General features: G+C 48.7%; 1 protein-coding gene across 1 annotated transcript in view; it reads right to left on the reverse strand.

Annotated features, from left to right (window-relative positions):
- The window catches only part of FAM178B (family with sequence similarity 178 member B), a 110,696-nt gene that overhangs the window by 53,576 nt on the left and 41,484 nt on the right, over positions 1-15,636 (reverse strand). The window lies entirely within an intron of this gene.

Raw genomic sequence — 15,636 nt, forward strand, 5'->3', positions numbered from 1 at the left:
GAAATGAAGCAACTGGTGGTTTCCAAGTACTTCTGGGGCTTTGTGAATTTCAATGTTTTCTTGAATATTCTCTTACCTGGTCTTCAAGGTATGGCTGCACTTGGGTCAACCACTCCCTGACCATCTGGCCATCCACATCAGGCAGTAGTCAGGGTGCTCGGCTGCCCACAGCCAAGTGACACGAAGAGTCCTGTGCCAGAGGCCCCGAGCTACAAGGCTCACTGGACACCAGGCTCACGTCCTTAGACTCTCTTGCTGCAAAGCACCGAGGCTGACACTCAGCCCACTGCAGCCTCTGCAGCACTCTTGCTGCTGCAACATTTGGGCATCCCTAGTCCACCATCCCTGCTGGGAGCACACCTCGCCTGCCTCCCACAGCCTGGGGCGTGTCTCCTAAGCAAGTGTGCGCTATGGGGACCAGTTTCCCTTGCCCAATTTAACCAAACATTCATGATAAAGTCTGACCACATCGGCCGGGCACAGTGGCCCACACCTGTAATCCTAGCACTTTTCAGAGACTGAGGCAGGCAGATTGCCTGAGCTCAAGAAGTTCGAGACTAGCCTGGGCAACACGGTGAAACCTCATCTCTACTAAAATACAAAAGAAAGTAGCCGAGCATGGCGGCATGAGCCTGTAGTCCCAGGATAATTGCTTGAACTTGGGAGGTGGAGGTTGTAATGAGCTGACATAGAGCCACTGCACTCCAGCACTCCAGCAGCCTGGGTGACAGAGCGAGACTCCGTCTCTCCAAAAAAAAAAAAAAAAAAAAAAAAAAAAAAAAAATCTGACCACGTCAGCAAACAGGGAGAACCTTACATACTCAGGTACTCAGGGCCTTTTTTTCTGTCAGACTACTTAAGGACATTTTTATAAGTGGGAGAGTAGAAAGATAAAAAAGAATGGGTCCAGACGTCTTCTCCAAGGATGGCTGCCCAAGACCTCCTGCCCCATGTGTTCTCTGCACCGTGAGCTCCCACACCTCATCCAGGGACAGAGCCTATGTTTCCACTCTGCTCTCATTCCTCAGCATTGTCCGACTTAGCAGTTGACTTGCTTCTCCTTCTGTCTCTCCCCGGTAGAACAGGAGTCCCACGAGGGCAGGGGCCACATCTGTGTTGGTCATCTCTACAGGCCCCATGCCTAAAAACGTGGCCGGTGCATGGAAGAATTAGAATGAATGAATGGAGAGAATCCAAAACAAATCTGACCAAGTACTACACAGCTAAGAGGGTGCTATGTTCTGAGTGTTTATGTATAGCCTCCAAAGCTCATATGTTGAAATTTAATCCCAAGTGTGATAGCATCAAGAGGTGGGGCCTTTGGGAGGAAAATTAGGTCATGAGAATGGAGCTCTCACAAATGGGATCAGTGCCCTGATAAAGGAAGAAGGCCTGAGGGAGCTGGTTGCCCCTTTTACCCTTCTGCCACATAAGGAATTGGCCAGAAGACCTCCTCTTTGGGGCAGAGAGCAGCTCTCACCAGACACCAAATTTGCTGGTACCTTGATCTTGGACTTCCCAGCCTCCAGAACTGTAAGCAATAAATTTCCCAGTTTATAAATTACCCAGACTAAGGTACTTTGTCATAGCATCTCAAATGGACCAAAACAGGGAGACTGAAAACAAGTCATAAGATGGGCTGGCAGTATCCAGAAGGCAGATGTTAAATTTGACAATGGGTGGGGCATCAGATTCAAGAACCTGGAAGCTGGGTTAGGGATACATCAGAAGCACATACGTGAGACTTCACCATTCTAGAGGGTGAGTGTCCCACCCTGAGGACCCACTTCAGCACACTCCACTGTGTTCAGGAACTAGCTAGGTGTGGAAGATAAAAAGGCAAGCTAGAGGAGACCTTGACCTCAAGGAGCTCATGGTCTAGGAGGAACAGAAGCCAGATCAAGAAATACAAGTGAATGTCTTTATGCAAAAATCAAAGCAGGTAAAAGGTACAGAGCCTTCTCAGAGGAGCAGGTGTTACTTGGAGGTGGTGAGCGGACAAGACAAGGAATATGAAATGTGGAAGGTGGAATGGGAATGTCTCTTTTCTGACACAGAGACAGAAAAGACGGAGGCAGGGCAGCACAAAGCAGCATGGCATGTCAAGACTGGAGGCAGAACAGGCACAAAGCAGGGAGGGCTGCTGCGGGGTGGGGACTTCCGCAAGGACCACCGTAAGAATCAGTTTCCTAAGCTCACTGAAAAGTGCTGGCAACAGTCCTGCCCAGCTGCAGTGCTGGCAGACGGCAGGATGGCGGGCAGAGGGTCTCTGAAACCTGCCCAAGGACATTTCTTCGGCAGGCATCGAGTATCCCTCTTTGGAAATGTATATGGGTTGAGACTCACCAAACAAGTAATTAGACTCTTGGAGGAGGAAAAACTTTCTTGTTTGTTTGTTTTTTTTTTTTTTCCTCTCTTGGGCAACTTAACAAGTAAAGAGTGGTAATGATACCCCTTACTCGCCTCACAAACGAGCTGGGAAGAATGAAGTCTGCAAAACACAATGAGACTCCACTGGAAAGAGAGAACTGTTCACCAGGGCCTTCAGGGGACTGTGCACGTATGTGCATGCACCTGTGGGCGGGCAGATGAACTTTCCAGGGAGGGGAAGACAATCAACCTAGGGCGAGGCCCCGGGAGGCCCAGGTGGGTTGGAACCTCCCGCCAGCAGCCTCAGACCCCAAGGAGGTTGTGCCCGCCTCCCCTTGAGATCCCCACCCCAGCCCACACAGAGGCATCTTCTGCTGTGAAACCTCCTGACTCACAGGCAGCAGTGCCCACTCTGCCAGCCTCCAGCTGGGCATCATCCCTTCTCCCCTCTCCTACCCAGCAACTGCTCCACAGCACAGCACGACCCAGGCCAAGGTGTCAGGAGCAGTGTCAGAGGAGGGGCCTGGGAGGCCTCGGGACAGTTAAGTCCCTATCAGCAGCCGTGGAGGCTGGTGACTTGAGGACAGGAAAATACCACCCCGGAGCCCATAATTAACACTGCCTAGAAGTGGGCCATGCACTCAGCTTTTCCTGAGCTCTGTTTGTCCCCGATGAGGGCTTTCTGGAGAGCTGACACAGAGGAAACTCAGATGTCAGGCTGCCAGGCTCCAGCTCCCCAACTCAGTTCCTCCAGACACAGAACAGTCATTTTAGGTGATGCCCAGGGGAGCACCGGAACACTGTGTCTTTTAAAATGCCAGCATGGGCCGGGCATGGTGGCTCACGCCTGTAATCCCAGCACTTTGGGAGGCCGAGGTGGGTGGATCACCTGAGGTCAGGAGTTCGAGACCAGCCTGGTCAATGTGGTGAAACCCTGTCTCTACTAAAAATACAAAAAAATTAGCCGGGCATGGTGGTGGATGCCTGTAATCCCAGCTACTTAGGAGGCTGAGGCAGGAGAATTGCTTGAACCCAGGAGGCAAAGGTTGCAGTGAGTTGAAATCGTGCCACTGCACCCCAGCCTGTACAACAGAGTGAGACTCCGTCTCACAAAAAAAAAAAAAAAAAAAAAAGCCGGGCGTGGTGGCTCACGCCTGCAATCCCAGCACTTTGGGAGGCTCAGGCGGGCAGATCACAAGGTCAGGAGATCAAGACCATCCTGGCTAACACGGTGAAACCCGGTCTCTACTAAAAATACAAAAATTAGCCGGGCGTGGTAGTGCACGCCTGTAATCCCAGCTACTTGGGAGGCTGAGGCAGGAGAACTGCTTAAACCCAGGAGGTGGAGGTTGCAGTTAGCCGAGATCGCGCCACTGCACTCCAGCCTGGGCAACAAAGCGAGACTCCGTTTCATAAAAAAATAAAAAAAAAAATTAAAAAAATTTGCCAGCATGAACAGCCCAAAGACTCTGGGCTCTGTGTAAGAGGCTGTGAGTCTGCAGGCGTCCCTTTAGGTTACCCTTCTGGGATGGAACTGACACTTGGGGGTATGGGGGGAAGATAGAGGAAGAAAATCATCAGGCCTAAAATAAAAGTGGCTTTTCCATCTGTGTCGTGGAAGAAGCTGTTAATTCACTACCGTTCTCCTGGCACCTCTTACATGGAATTGGAAATCCATGCACATCCCAAGAACCTCTTCGGTCACTGGAAGCGCCAGCCTCAGCTCCAAGACCTGGCTCCTGCCCCCCTTCTGGGCCTCCCTCGTGCCCTGAGTCCTCAGCCTGGGCCTTAGGGCTTTGGCGGCAGGAGACTGGGTCTGCAGGCTCCATTCTTATCCTCCCCAACCCCCAAATCAAACAGCTAATGAGCTCTGCTGGGTGGCTGCACTGGGAGGGCCAAGCAGCACCATCTGCCTGAGTTCTAGTTCCCTGAATCCGAGATACCACAGGAGGAGGGGAGGTCCCCATCAGCCTTAATGGGCAAGGGGGCAAGAGGGCCAGGAGGCTGGTTCCTAAAGGAAAGCAAGCTACCCATCCCACTGAGTCCGATCTTAACTGGAGTGCGGGGCTCACAATGTTTACGGGAGGCTTAAAATCCAATTCTTTCATATCCTCCCAAATCTAATCACTTATCTTCCCGCAGCACTTTTCTACTTAAATTTAAACTTGTTTCAATATTGCCAGCTTTAGTCAATTAGCTTTAGCTTTAGTCATTTCAACCGTGCATTCACTCAGCAAATGGCAAGCAAACACCAGGTGCTGTTCTAAATGCCAGGGACCCAGTGGTGAACAAAACACAAAGCAGCCCTGCTCTCGGGTTGTTGGTGTTGGGTGGGGGACACACAACGCACACATGAAAGATACATAAAGCCCAATGATGCTGGGTGGCATCCGTGGCTGGGAGGAAGGGTGGTCAGGGGACGCTGGAGCACCCTGAGTGACTTGGGGAGCCTGGCAGAGACCTGAGGCCAGGGAGCACGGCTGTCTTCTAGGTTGAGCAAGGAGCCCAGGGTGCTGGAGTGGGTGCAAGGCCAGGGGCTGGAGGTGAGGATGGAGAGGCAGATGGGGGCGAGAGAGAAGCAGATCAGCTGGCCTGGAAGACTGGGGCAAGGACCAGGGATGAAGGGAAGCCACTGGACTTGTAAACAGGGAGTGTCATTACCAAAGGGAGCCAGGTCCTCAACAACAACAACAAAAAAATCCTGTATCCCCACACTATGACATATCCATTTCCTATTTTAAAAACATGCACATTTTGTTGCCCCGATGACAGTGTAAGCACAGGATGCAGGCAGACCGGCGTTCTCCCAAAGAGTGCCACTGCCTCTCCTGAGAAAACCGTGTGTCTAGGGAGACACTGCGAAATGCTGACCGCTTGCTGTTCCTGGTCTCTCTCTCACCGGCTCTTTTCCAGATCTGCACCCACATTCTTTTGGAACCTTCTTTTTGTTTCTTCTCTACCCTGCAGCCAGCTCTGAGGGTGCCTTTCTTTCCTTTTTCTCCCCACTCACCCTGAGCCCAAGGCCTTTCCTGTGGTGCCCCTGACAACCTCCCTACCTGGCTATAACCAACTCTGCACCCGCCAACACCATCTCTATAGGCCCCTGGCCTGCTTATTCACAGAAATGTGTACAGGGCAGGTGATGCCATCCCCAGGGCACCTCTCCTTTCCCCTGCCCTTCTGTAACTCACACCACTGCCTGGTGTCACCTAATACCAGCAAGCACTCGAGGCCCCCGGTATGCGTGACAGAGCGACATTGTGCCAAACCACAGAACCACTCATATCTGCTAGAATTAGGTTTGGCTACAAATAACAAAATGGAACAAAATTAAAACAAACAAACAAACAAAAACAAAAACAAAAGAAAAAAACCCACCCGGCCTTCAAAAAGAATTTTATTCTCTGACAAAAAAGAAGTCTGCAAGTAGGCAGGTCACAGCCGGTGCAGAGACCCAACTGTACCTGCAGGATCTCAGGAGCCCGTCTCTCAGCTCTGCTGTTCTTAGCATGTGCCTCTCATGCTCCAGGTCACATCACGGTCCAGCACGGCTGGTAGAGGCCCAGCTATTACGGCTCAGCTCCAGGCAATCGCCTTCTCACTTGGCCACCTAAGCATGCATTCTTGGTTGTTTTTAAGGATACAGGGCTCCCTCAGCACGACTCAGGAAGGTAGCAGTAGCAAACTACCCTTCCAAGTTTGGAAAGCAAAAGGTTGAGACTGGTTTAGACTCAACCTAAGAGTTTCCCAGTAATGTCCCTAAATGAATAATCTATCAGATTCTCTCCCAGTTTGGATTTTCAGGTTTTAATTTTTGTTTGGAGACGGAGTCTTGCTCTGTCACCCAGGCTGGAGTGCAGTGGCACGATCTCGGCTCGCTGCAACCTCTGCCTCCCAAGTTCAAGCAATTCTCCTGCCTCAGCCTCTCAAGTGGCTGGGACTACAGGCATGCACCACCACGCCTGGATAATTTTTGTACTTTTTTAGTAGACAGGGGGTTTCACCATGTTGTCCAGGCTGGTCTCGAACTCCTGACCTCAGGTGATCCACGTGCCTCGGCTCCGCAAAGTGCTGAGATTACAGGCGTGAGCCACCACGCCTGGCCATTTGTTAAAATCCATAGAACTGCACAACACAACCCTAATTTAGGCTATGGACTTCAGTTAATAATGTATTGATATTGTAACAAATATACACACTAACATATGATGTAAATAATAGAGGAAACTGGTGGGTGGGTGGGAGTGGAGAATGAGTATACAGAAACTACTTTCTGATCAAGTTTTCTGTAAGCCCAAAACTGTTCTAAAAAATAAAGGCTATTAAAAAAAAATACAACAACAAAAGTATTCTTCTTTTTATTTATTTATTTATTATTTATTTATTTTTGAGACGGAGTCTCGCTCTGTTGCCCAGGCTGGGGTGCAGTGGCATGATCTCTGCTCACTGTAAGCTCCACCTCCCGGGTTCACACCATTCTCCTGCCTCAGCCTCCCGAGTAGCTGGAACTACAGGCGCCCGCCACCACGCCCGGCTAAGTTTTTGTATTTTTAGTAGAGACGGGGTTTCACCATATTAGCCAGGATGGTCTCGATCTCCCGACCTTGTGATCTGCCCGCCTTGGCCTCCCAAAGTGCTGGATTACAGGCGTGAGCCACCACGCCCGGGTTTTTTTTTTTTGGTTGTTTTTTTTTTTTGAGACAGAGCTTTGTTCTGTCCCCCAGGCTGGAGTGCAATGGCATGATCTTGGCTCACTGCAACCTCTGCCTCCTGGGTTCAAGCGATTCTCCTGCCCCAACCTCCCAAGTAACTGGGATTACCAGCGCCTGCCACCACACCTGACTAATTTTTTGTATCTTTAGTAGGGACGGGGTTTTGCCATGTTGGCCAGGCTGGTCTCGAACTCCTGACTTCAGGTGATCCGCCCACCTCATCCTCCCAAAATGCTGGGATTACAGGCGTGAGACACCACACCTGGCTAACAAAAGCGTTCTTTAAAAAAATAACAACAGGAGGGGGGTCTCCACACACCATTTCTTGGGCAGCACAGCAGACCCGGCACTGGAAGGGATGATGGTGGTTGCTCTCATCTCAATCAAGGACCCAGCTGAGAGCCTAACACAGTGGTTCACTGCAGCCTCAACCTCCTGGGCTCAAGCTATCCTCCTGCCTCAGCCTCCAGAGTAGCCAGGACTACAGGCACACACCACAATGCCCAGGTTTTGTTGTTGTTGTTGTTGTTTTAGTAGAGACGAGATTTCACTATGTTGCCCAGACTGGTATGGAACTCCTGAGCTCAAGCAATCCTCCTGCCTCTGTCCTCCCAAAGTGCTGGGATTACAGGTGTGAACCACCACACCTGGCCTGTTTGCACATGTTGGAATCACTTAGGGAGTGTCAAAAATTACTGCCACCTGTGCCCTACCCCCCAGCAATTGTGGTTTAATTAGTCTGGGGTGTGGACTAGGCTTTGGAATTTTAAAAAATTTCCAAGTGATTCTAATACACAGCCAAGTTTGGGCTCCACTGAGCTAGGGAAAGCTGTGGCCCTGGCTCCGGAGCATTACTCAGGGCCACACTCCCGTGCTCTGGTGGATGATGAGGGTGGTGGGGGTGGGCAGGAATCCTCAGATGCCAGCCCCGGCTCCCCTCTCGCCGCACCTGAGGCCAACTGCCCGTGGCTCAGTAGCCCAGGGGCTCTCAGTTCTGGATGCCCACTGGAATCAGGAGGGGAGGCTTTAAAATGCTAATGCCCAGGCTGTGCCTCAGACTGATCTCAGAGGGTAGGACACAGACGTCATACTTTTTAACGCTCAGCCATAGCTGAAAATTGCCAGGGCCGGAGGCTCAGTACTGGGGGAGCTGCAGCCATCCTCTGATCAGAGTCTAAAAGTCAAACATTAAGAAGTGTTGGGCTGGGCGCGGGGGCTCACATCTATAATCCCCACAAGTTGGGAGGCCCAGGCAGGCAGATCGCTTGAGCCCAGGTGTTCGAGACCAGCCTGGGTAACACAGTGAGACCCTATCTCTACAAAAAATACAAACAAATTAGCCGGGCGTGGTGGCACGCACCTGTAGTCCCAGCCACTCAGGACGCTGAGGCAGGAGGATCACCTGAGCCCGAGAGGTCAAGGTCATGGTTGCAGTGAGCCCTGATGCCACCACTGCACTCCAGCCTGGGTGACAGAGTGAGACCTTGTCTCAACAACAACAAAAAAGTGCTCTCCGAGTTTAAGTCACTTAAATTTATTTTGCACCTCATTTTAAAAGTGGGGGTTGAGAGTCCTGAGCTAAAGTGGTGGGCAAAACCCCCACTATTGCCTGGCCACCTCTCCTGCAAGAGGTCTGTGCACTTGGCCAAAGTTCTCAAAACCTGGAGCATCTCAGCCCCAGCTCCACATAAAAATCACCTGAGAGCTTTAAAAATTCCTGATGACAGGTACTGTCCTAAGGGAACGAACTCACCTGGGCCTCACGAGCTACTAATGGCGCAGTACCTGAGGGTCCCCTTGTATAGGTGGTGGAATGTAGTGGTGGGGACAGGAGCTGAGTGCGCCACAGGCAGGGAGACTCTGGAGATGCCTGCTGAGCTGGGGTAAAGCATGCATGCCTGCCCCCACAGGGCCAACAGACCTCAGGGCTTGAAGCTGGAGGACCAGAGAGCACATCAGAGCTTCTCTGGTACACCCAGCTCCACAGCTGACTGGCCACAGGATCAGAGCAGCTATCTGGAAAAGATGCTGCTGTCCACCGGGAGACGCAGTGTTTCTGGAGACCCACCCACTCATTCAACAAAAACCACCTGGGTCCTACAGTGTCCCTGCTCACACAGCTGCCAGGAACCCAACAGATAACTAAAACTAAAAGCAAAACAAAAACATGGTCCCCGTACTTTGGAGCTCACGGCCCATTGGGAGAGACAATATTAATCAAAGAACCCACCATCAACTATGACTAAAGCCACGAGTGGAAAAGGGAGCCAAGCGTAGAAGCAAGGAGGCGGCACACGCCCGCAGGGCAGGCCTCCTTGAGCAGGTGATGCCAGAGAAGTCCATAACAGAGAGGAAGAGATGGAGTTAAGAAGAAAGTCAGGCCGGGTGTGGTGGCTCACACCTGTAATCCCAGCACCTGGGAGGCTGAGGTGGGTGGATCACTTGAGGTCAGGAGTTGGAGACCAGCCTGGCCAATATGGCGAAACCCTGTCTCTACTAAAAATACAAAAATTAGACGGGCATGGTGGCACGTGCCTGTAATCGTAGCTACTCGGGAGGCTGAGGCAGGAGAATCACTTGAACCTGGGAGGCAGAGGTTGCAGTGAGCCAAGATCATGCCACTGCGCTCCAGCCTGGGCAACAGAGTGAGACTCTGTCTCAAAACAAAACAAGGCCAGGCGCGGTGGCTCACCCCTGTAATCCCAGCACTTCGGGAGGCTGAGGCGGGCGGATCAAGAGCTCAGGAGATCAAGACCATCCTGGCTAACACAGTGAAACACTGTGTCTACCAAAAATACAAAAATTTAGCTGGGTGTGGTGGTGGGCGCCTGTAATCCCAGCTACTCGGGAGGCTGAGGCAGGAGAATGGCGTGAACCTGGGAGGCGGAGCTTGTAGTGAGCCGAGATCGCGCCACTGCATTCTGGCCTGGGCGACAGAGTGAGACTCCATCTCAAAACAAAACAAAACAAACAAATGAACAAACAAAAAAACAAAGGCAAAGTCAGAGAGCTGCTGAGGGGAAGGAGGAGAGTATGCCAGGTAAAGAGGCTGGCACATGCAAAGGCCCTGTGGCAGAAGGAAGATGGAAGAAAAGAAATGCAGAGAGGTCGCAGCACAGAGAGTCAGAGAGGGTGAGGTAAAATGAGCTGGACAAGGGCTGGCTGACCACAGAGGAGATGGCACGCATTGCACACACAGTAGGAGCTTGGGCAGGCTTTCCAGCCCCCAATTACCTATAACATGGGACAATAATGGTATCTACTTGTAGGGTTGTTGTGGTGATTAAATGAGATAGGCCAAGCCCTGGGCTTGGTGCCTAGCACAAATTAAGCTCTCTGGAAATGTCACCTATTATTTTCAATTAAACTGCTTTTATTATCATATCCAAGAATAATGTTTTTAAAAAACAGAGATCAATTATGACGCTGAATTACTGTTATCAAATTCTAATTGGAGACTTTGAAAGGACTATGCCAAGCACATGACAGCTCTGAGGGAGCTGGGCCCTGGGGTCTCCTGGGTGGTCCTCCAAGTGTTTTCCTGCCCATTTGGGTCTAGACAACATTCTCACAGCACCAGCACGGGGACTGAGTGCAGCTGGCGTGGCAGACCTGGATCCCAGCCCGCCTCTCTGGGCCTGAGGACAATGGGACCAGCCCTGTGGAATCAGGGAGTAAAGGGCACCCGGCATGAGAACGGTATGGGGTCCAGGGCCCAGGCACTTAAGTGCTCCACACATATGGGCAGCTGCTGCTGCCACCGCCACAGGAGACGCGACCTGCAGATGAGAAGGTCGTGGGGCCTCCACTCCAGGGGCTCTGACTGGCTCGCTTCCCACCTCCTGCAGCAGGAGGCTGTCCTGCAAACCACAAGAGAGGCAGATCGGGTGGGGCGAGGACATCTCCTAATAAGATGGTGAAGAACAGAGAGTGTCAACCTGATAGACTAAAGACTGCTTAAATTTCAAAATAATTATTCCGTGTGAAATGTGCCAGACCCTCCCCACCCACAGCCCACAAAGAGTACCTACTGCATAATTCCATTTATATAAAATTCTAGAGAATACAAACGAACCTGTAGTGACAAAGTAGATCAGTGGTTTCCTACAGACAAGAGGTGGAGGAGAGATCAATCATGAAGAGGCATAGGGAAACTTTTGGGGGCCATGGAATATATTCACTAGCTCAATTGTGGCAATGATTTTACAGGCACATATGTAAGTGTATACATTATACACTTCAAATGTCTGCAAGTTAATGTATTCAGTTATGCCTCAATAAGTTTTTTTAAAGACGGATGAGCTAAAACAGAAATATGTATTAATTTTTTGTTTTTGCACCCCAGTGGCTCATCCCACCTCCAGGACCCTCACTCGGCGGACCTGTGGTCTAGAAAGCCCCACCTGACCTGCCTTGTGCAGGCTGTGGCCTCTCCAGACACCAGTGGGGAGAACTGGGAAACTCTGGGAAGAGCAATCGGCACTGGAGGTAATTTCAGATGGATACTAATGTGGCGAAAGAAATACGGTATAGATAAACATATAAACATACAAATATAGATGAAATGTGTATTGTGTATTCATTTTGTGCCGGGAAATAATCACAAGAAACTGTACTAATGAGTACTTGGGAGGAGGAAGTGGTTGTGGGGAGTGGCTGGCAAGAAGACTTTCACTCTTTATTTTGCATCTTTCTCTATTATTTAAATTTGCTAAACTTGGTACAGAGAGTAGTTTAAAAAATAACAACAGGGGTTACCTGGGTGGTAAGATTGCTGGCCATCTTGTTTCCATTTTATTCCTTTTACAAGAAGCAACTTTATGAATGCTTTCTGAGAGGAGGAGTGGGAAGGAGGAATAAAGAAAGGAAGGGAGAGATGAAGGAAAGAGAATGCAACAGGCAACGGCAGAAAAGAAAGTAACCCACAAAATGAGGCCTGTACGGAAACCCAAGGCCCCAGTGGCCACGAGGCCAGAGCTCGAGGAGAACAAAGGGAAAAGCATGATCAAGTGAGGAAGAACAAAGTGTCCTAAGACCCTGCTCAAGAACGTGAAATGAATTCTGTTCTTGGAGCTGAACGTCTCGCCCACTTTCAAAATATCCAAAGAATGTACTGGCCAGGGTCATTCTATTTTATTATATCCCCCTCCTCCTACACAAATATTATAGAAGCCAACAGAGAATGAAATGGGTAGGTAAAAATGGACAATTGTCTTGGAAGCAAATGGAAAAGAACCTACGCAAGCTCTACTCCTTTCTAAAGCGTTTTGATCTCGCTGATAGAGCTCCTTTTCCGAAGACATTGCTTCAAGACTGGCACTAGGTTAACGGACAGTCATATACCAGCTCAGCTAAAACATTTTTGTTAAAGAAACTTGAGGTCATTTCATTTCTCTTAATCAACTAGTTGCACAAGAGTATGTTTGCCTTCGAAACCAAATTCTACCACAAAAAAACTATCACAGCTAATAAACAAGTTCAGCAGGTTAATATATACAAATCTGTATTTCTACACATGAGCAATGAACAATTTGAAAAGGAATTAAGAAAACATCTCTACTTATAACAGCACCAAAAGAATAAAATACTTAGGAATAAATTTGACCAAAGAAATGTAAGACATGTACACTGAAAATTACAACACATTGTTGACAGAAATTAAAGAGGATCTAAATAAATGGAAAGACATCCCATGTTCATGGATTGGAAGACTTACTATTAAGATAGCAATAGTACCCAAAAGTTATCTATAGATCCAAGACAATCACTATTAAAATCCCAGCTTTCAATGTTGCAGAAATTGACGAGCTGGTCCTAAAATTCACATGGAAATGGAAAGGACCCCAAACAGCCAAAACAATTTTTTTTCAGACGGAGTCTCGCTCTGTCGCCCAGGCTGGAGTGCAGTGGTGCGATCTCGGCTCACTGCAACCTCCGCCTCCTAGGTTCACGCCATTCTCCTGCCTCAGCCTCCGGAGTAGCTGGGATTACAGGTGCCTGCCACCATGCCCGGCTAATTTTTTTTTGTATTTTTAGTAGAGACGGGGTTTCACTGTGTTAGCCAGGATGGTCTTGATCTCCCGACCTCATGATCCGCCTGCCTCGGCCTCCCAAAGTGCTGGGATTACAGGCATGAGCCACTGAGCCTGGCCAACAAATTTTTAAAAAGTATAGTTAGAGGACTCATACTTCCCAACTTTAAAACTTACTACAAGCTATAGTAATAACAAATTTAGAGTACTAGCATAAGGGTAGACATATAAACCAATGGAATAAAATTGAGAGTTCAAAAATAAACCCTTACATTTATGGTCAAATGATTTTCAACAAGGGTGCCAACAGAATTCAATAGGGAAAGAACAGTCTTTTCAACAAATGGTGCTGAGACAACTGGATATCCATAGGCAAAAGAACCAAGCTAGACTCCTGTCTCAAACCACATACAAAAATGAACTCAAAATGGATCAAAGACCTAAATTTATGAGCTAAAAGTATAAAACTCTTAGAAGAAACCATAGGTGAAAATTTTCATGACCTGAGATTAGACAATGATGTCAGTAATTTTGACACCACAAAAGAAAAAAATAGATATGTTGGACTTCACCAAAATTTTAAAATTTTGTACATCAAAGGACATTATCAAGAGATTACAAAGAAAACCCACAAAATGAGAGAAAACATTTGCAAATCACATATCTGGTAAAAAAGAGACCTCTTACCCATCAGCAGTCACTCCCCATTCCTTCTTCCCCTATCTCCTGGCAACTGTTAATCAACTTTTGGTCTCTATGGATTTGCCTATTCTGGACATTTCAGAATAGGCATGAAATTTTCGTATCCATTTTCTTATCAGCGCTTTCAAGGTTCATGCATGTTATAGCATATGTCACTCCTTCCTTTTTTATGGCTGAATAGTATTCCATTTTATGGATATAGCACATTTTAAGAGGTTTCTTTTTGGGGAGATGAAAATGTTCTGGAAGTAGACAGTGGTGATGATTCAACAACTCTGAGTATACTAAAAACTACTGAATCTTACATTTTAAAAGGGTGAGTTGTATGTTATGTGAATTGTATCTTTAAAACAACCAACCATTCCATCCTGGTCTTGACAAATATTAATAAAGCTCCATTGTGCCTGCAATGGCCCCCACTATCCTTCAAGACCTGGCCTTCAAGACCTCGTCTTATTTCCTCCTCTGCTCCCTTCAAGGAAAGCCCCTACTCTTCCACCTCGTCTTTGTTCCCACTGCTCCCTGCTTCCCTTGCATCCCTGTATACCCTGATACTCCGCCCAAAGGCTGCAGATCAGTGGTCTGAATTGAATGGAGTCTGCAGATGGGTTCGCGGTGGTTTTTTCTTGTTGTTTTAACTGAGTTAGTTACCAACAGGACATCTCACATAAACATCTATATCCCAGCTGGGCGCGGTGGCTCACACCTCTAATCCCAGCACTTTAGGAGGCTGAAGTGGGTGGATCACCTGAGGCCAGGAGTTCGAGACCAGACTGGCCAACATGGTGAAACCCTGTCTCTACTAAAAATACAAAAATTAGCCGGGTGTGGTAGCGGTGCCTGTAGTCCCAGCTACTTAGGAGGCTGAGGCAGGAGAATGGCGTGAACCCGGGAGGTGGAGCTTGCAGTGGGCCGAGATTGTGCCACTGCACTCCAGCCTGGGCGACAGAGCAAGACTCCATCTCAAAAAAAAAAAAAAAAAAAAAAGACTGGAAGAGTAAATCTCATGCATTCAACCCTAAAGGGATAGGATTCATGAGGCTGGAAATTCTTCAGACATAGCCGTGATGTTCAAAGGGCACTGGACAGACAAACAACATGGCAAGTGACCTCTAAAGCCCGTGACCCCAGTTCTAATGAAACAAAATGGAAAAACTGTTCTGATAAAAAGAGGGGAAAGTATGAGAAGCAGTGACCTCGTATGTCCCATCCTTTCCTTTGCTGCCTTGAACACTCTTGTCTCCTGAGAACACAGTGGTGGTGGCAGCTACGGCAGCCATTCTGCAACCCGGAGAGGAAGTAGTGAGAAGACACATGCAGAATCCAGAGCCCTGAGACTGCGCATCTACTGAACGTGTCACAGAATCACCTGCCTCTGAATTCCTTGTCATGTGAGCTAACAAACTGCTCTTGGTATTTGTTATCAATAGTCAAAATACGACCTAACTAAAATGTGGCTTCTCTTGAAAATGAAGAGGTTTGGGAATACCAGACCTGCGTTTACCTGCACCAAACCTGATGTGGACAGCCCCTTTACATCAGGCAGGAGCTCTCAGACTTTGCTCACTCAGTCCCCGTAGGCAACTGAGTTTGCAGTCTCTGCTTTCTGGTACAGATGGCTCAACTGTCTCATCTTCTACAAAGCACTTCCTGGTTCCTGCCTCCCCACATCCCAAACCTACCTGACTACAAGTAATTCCTCTTCCCGTTGCCTCCTTTCTGTCTCTGATGGTCGCTGCTCATTTAATCCCCTCCCACCTATTAGCCTCCTGAGAACAGGACTTTATTAATCCCTGATCCTCTCTTTGCCATCTAGCGAA

This window comes from Homo sapiens, chromosome 2 (genome assembly GCF_000001405.40).
Source record: "Homo sapiens chromosome 2, GRCh38.p14 Primary Assembly".
In the NCBI taxonomy this organism is placed as follows: Eukaryota; Metazoa; Chordata; class Mammalia; order Primates; family Hominidae; genus Homo; species Homo sapiens.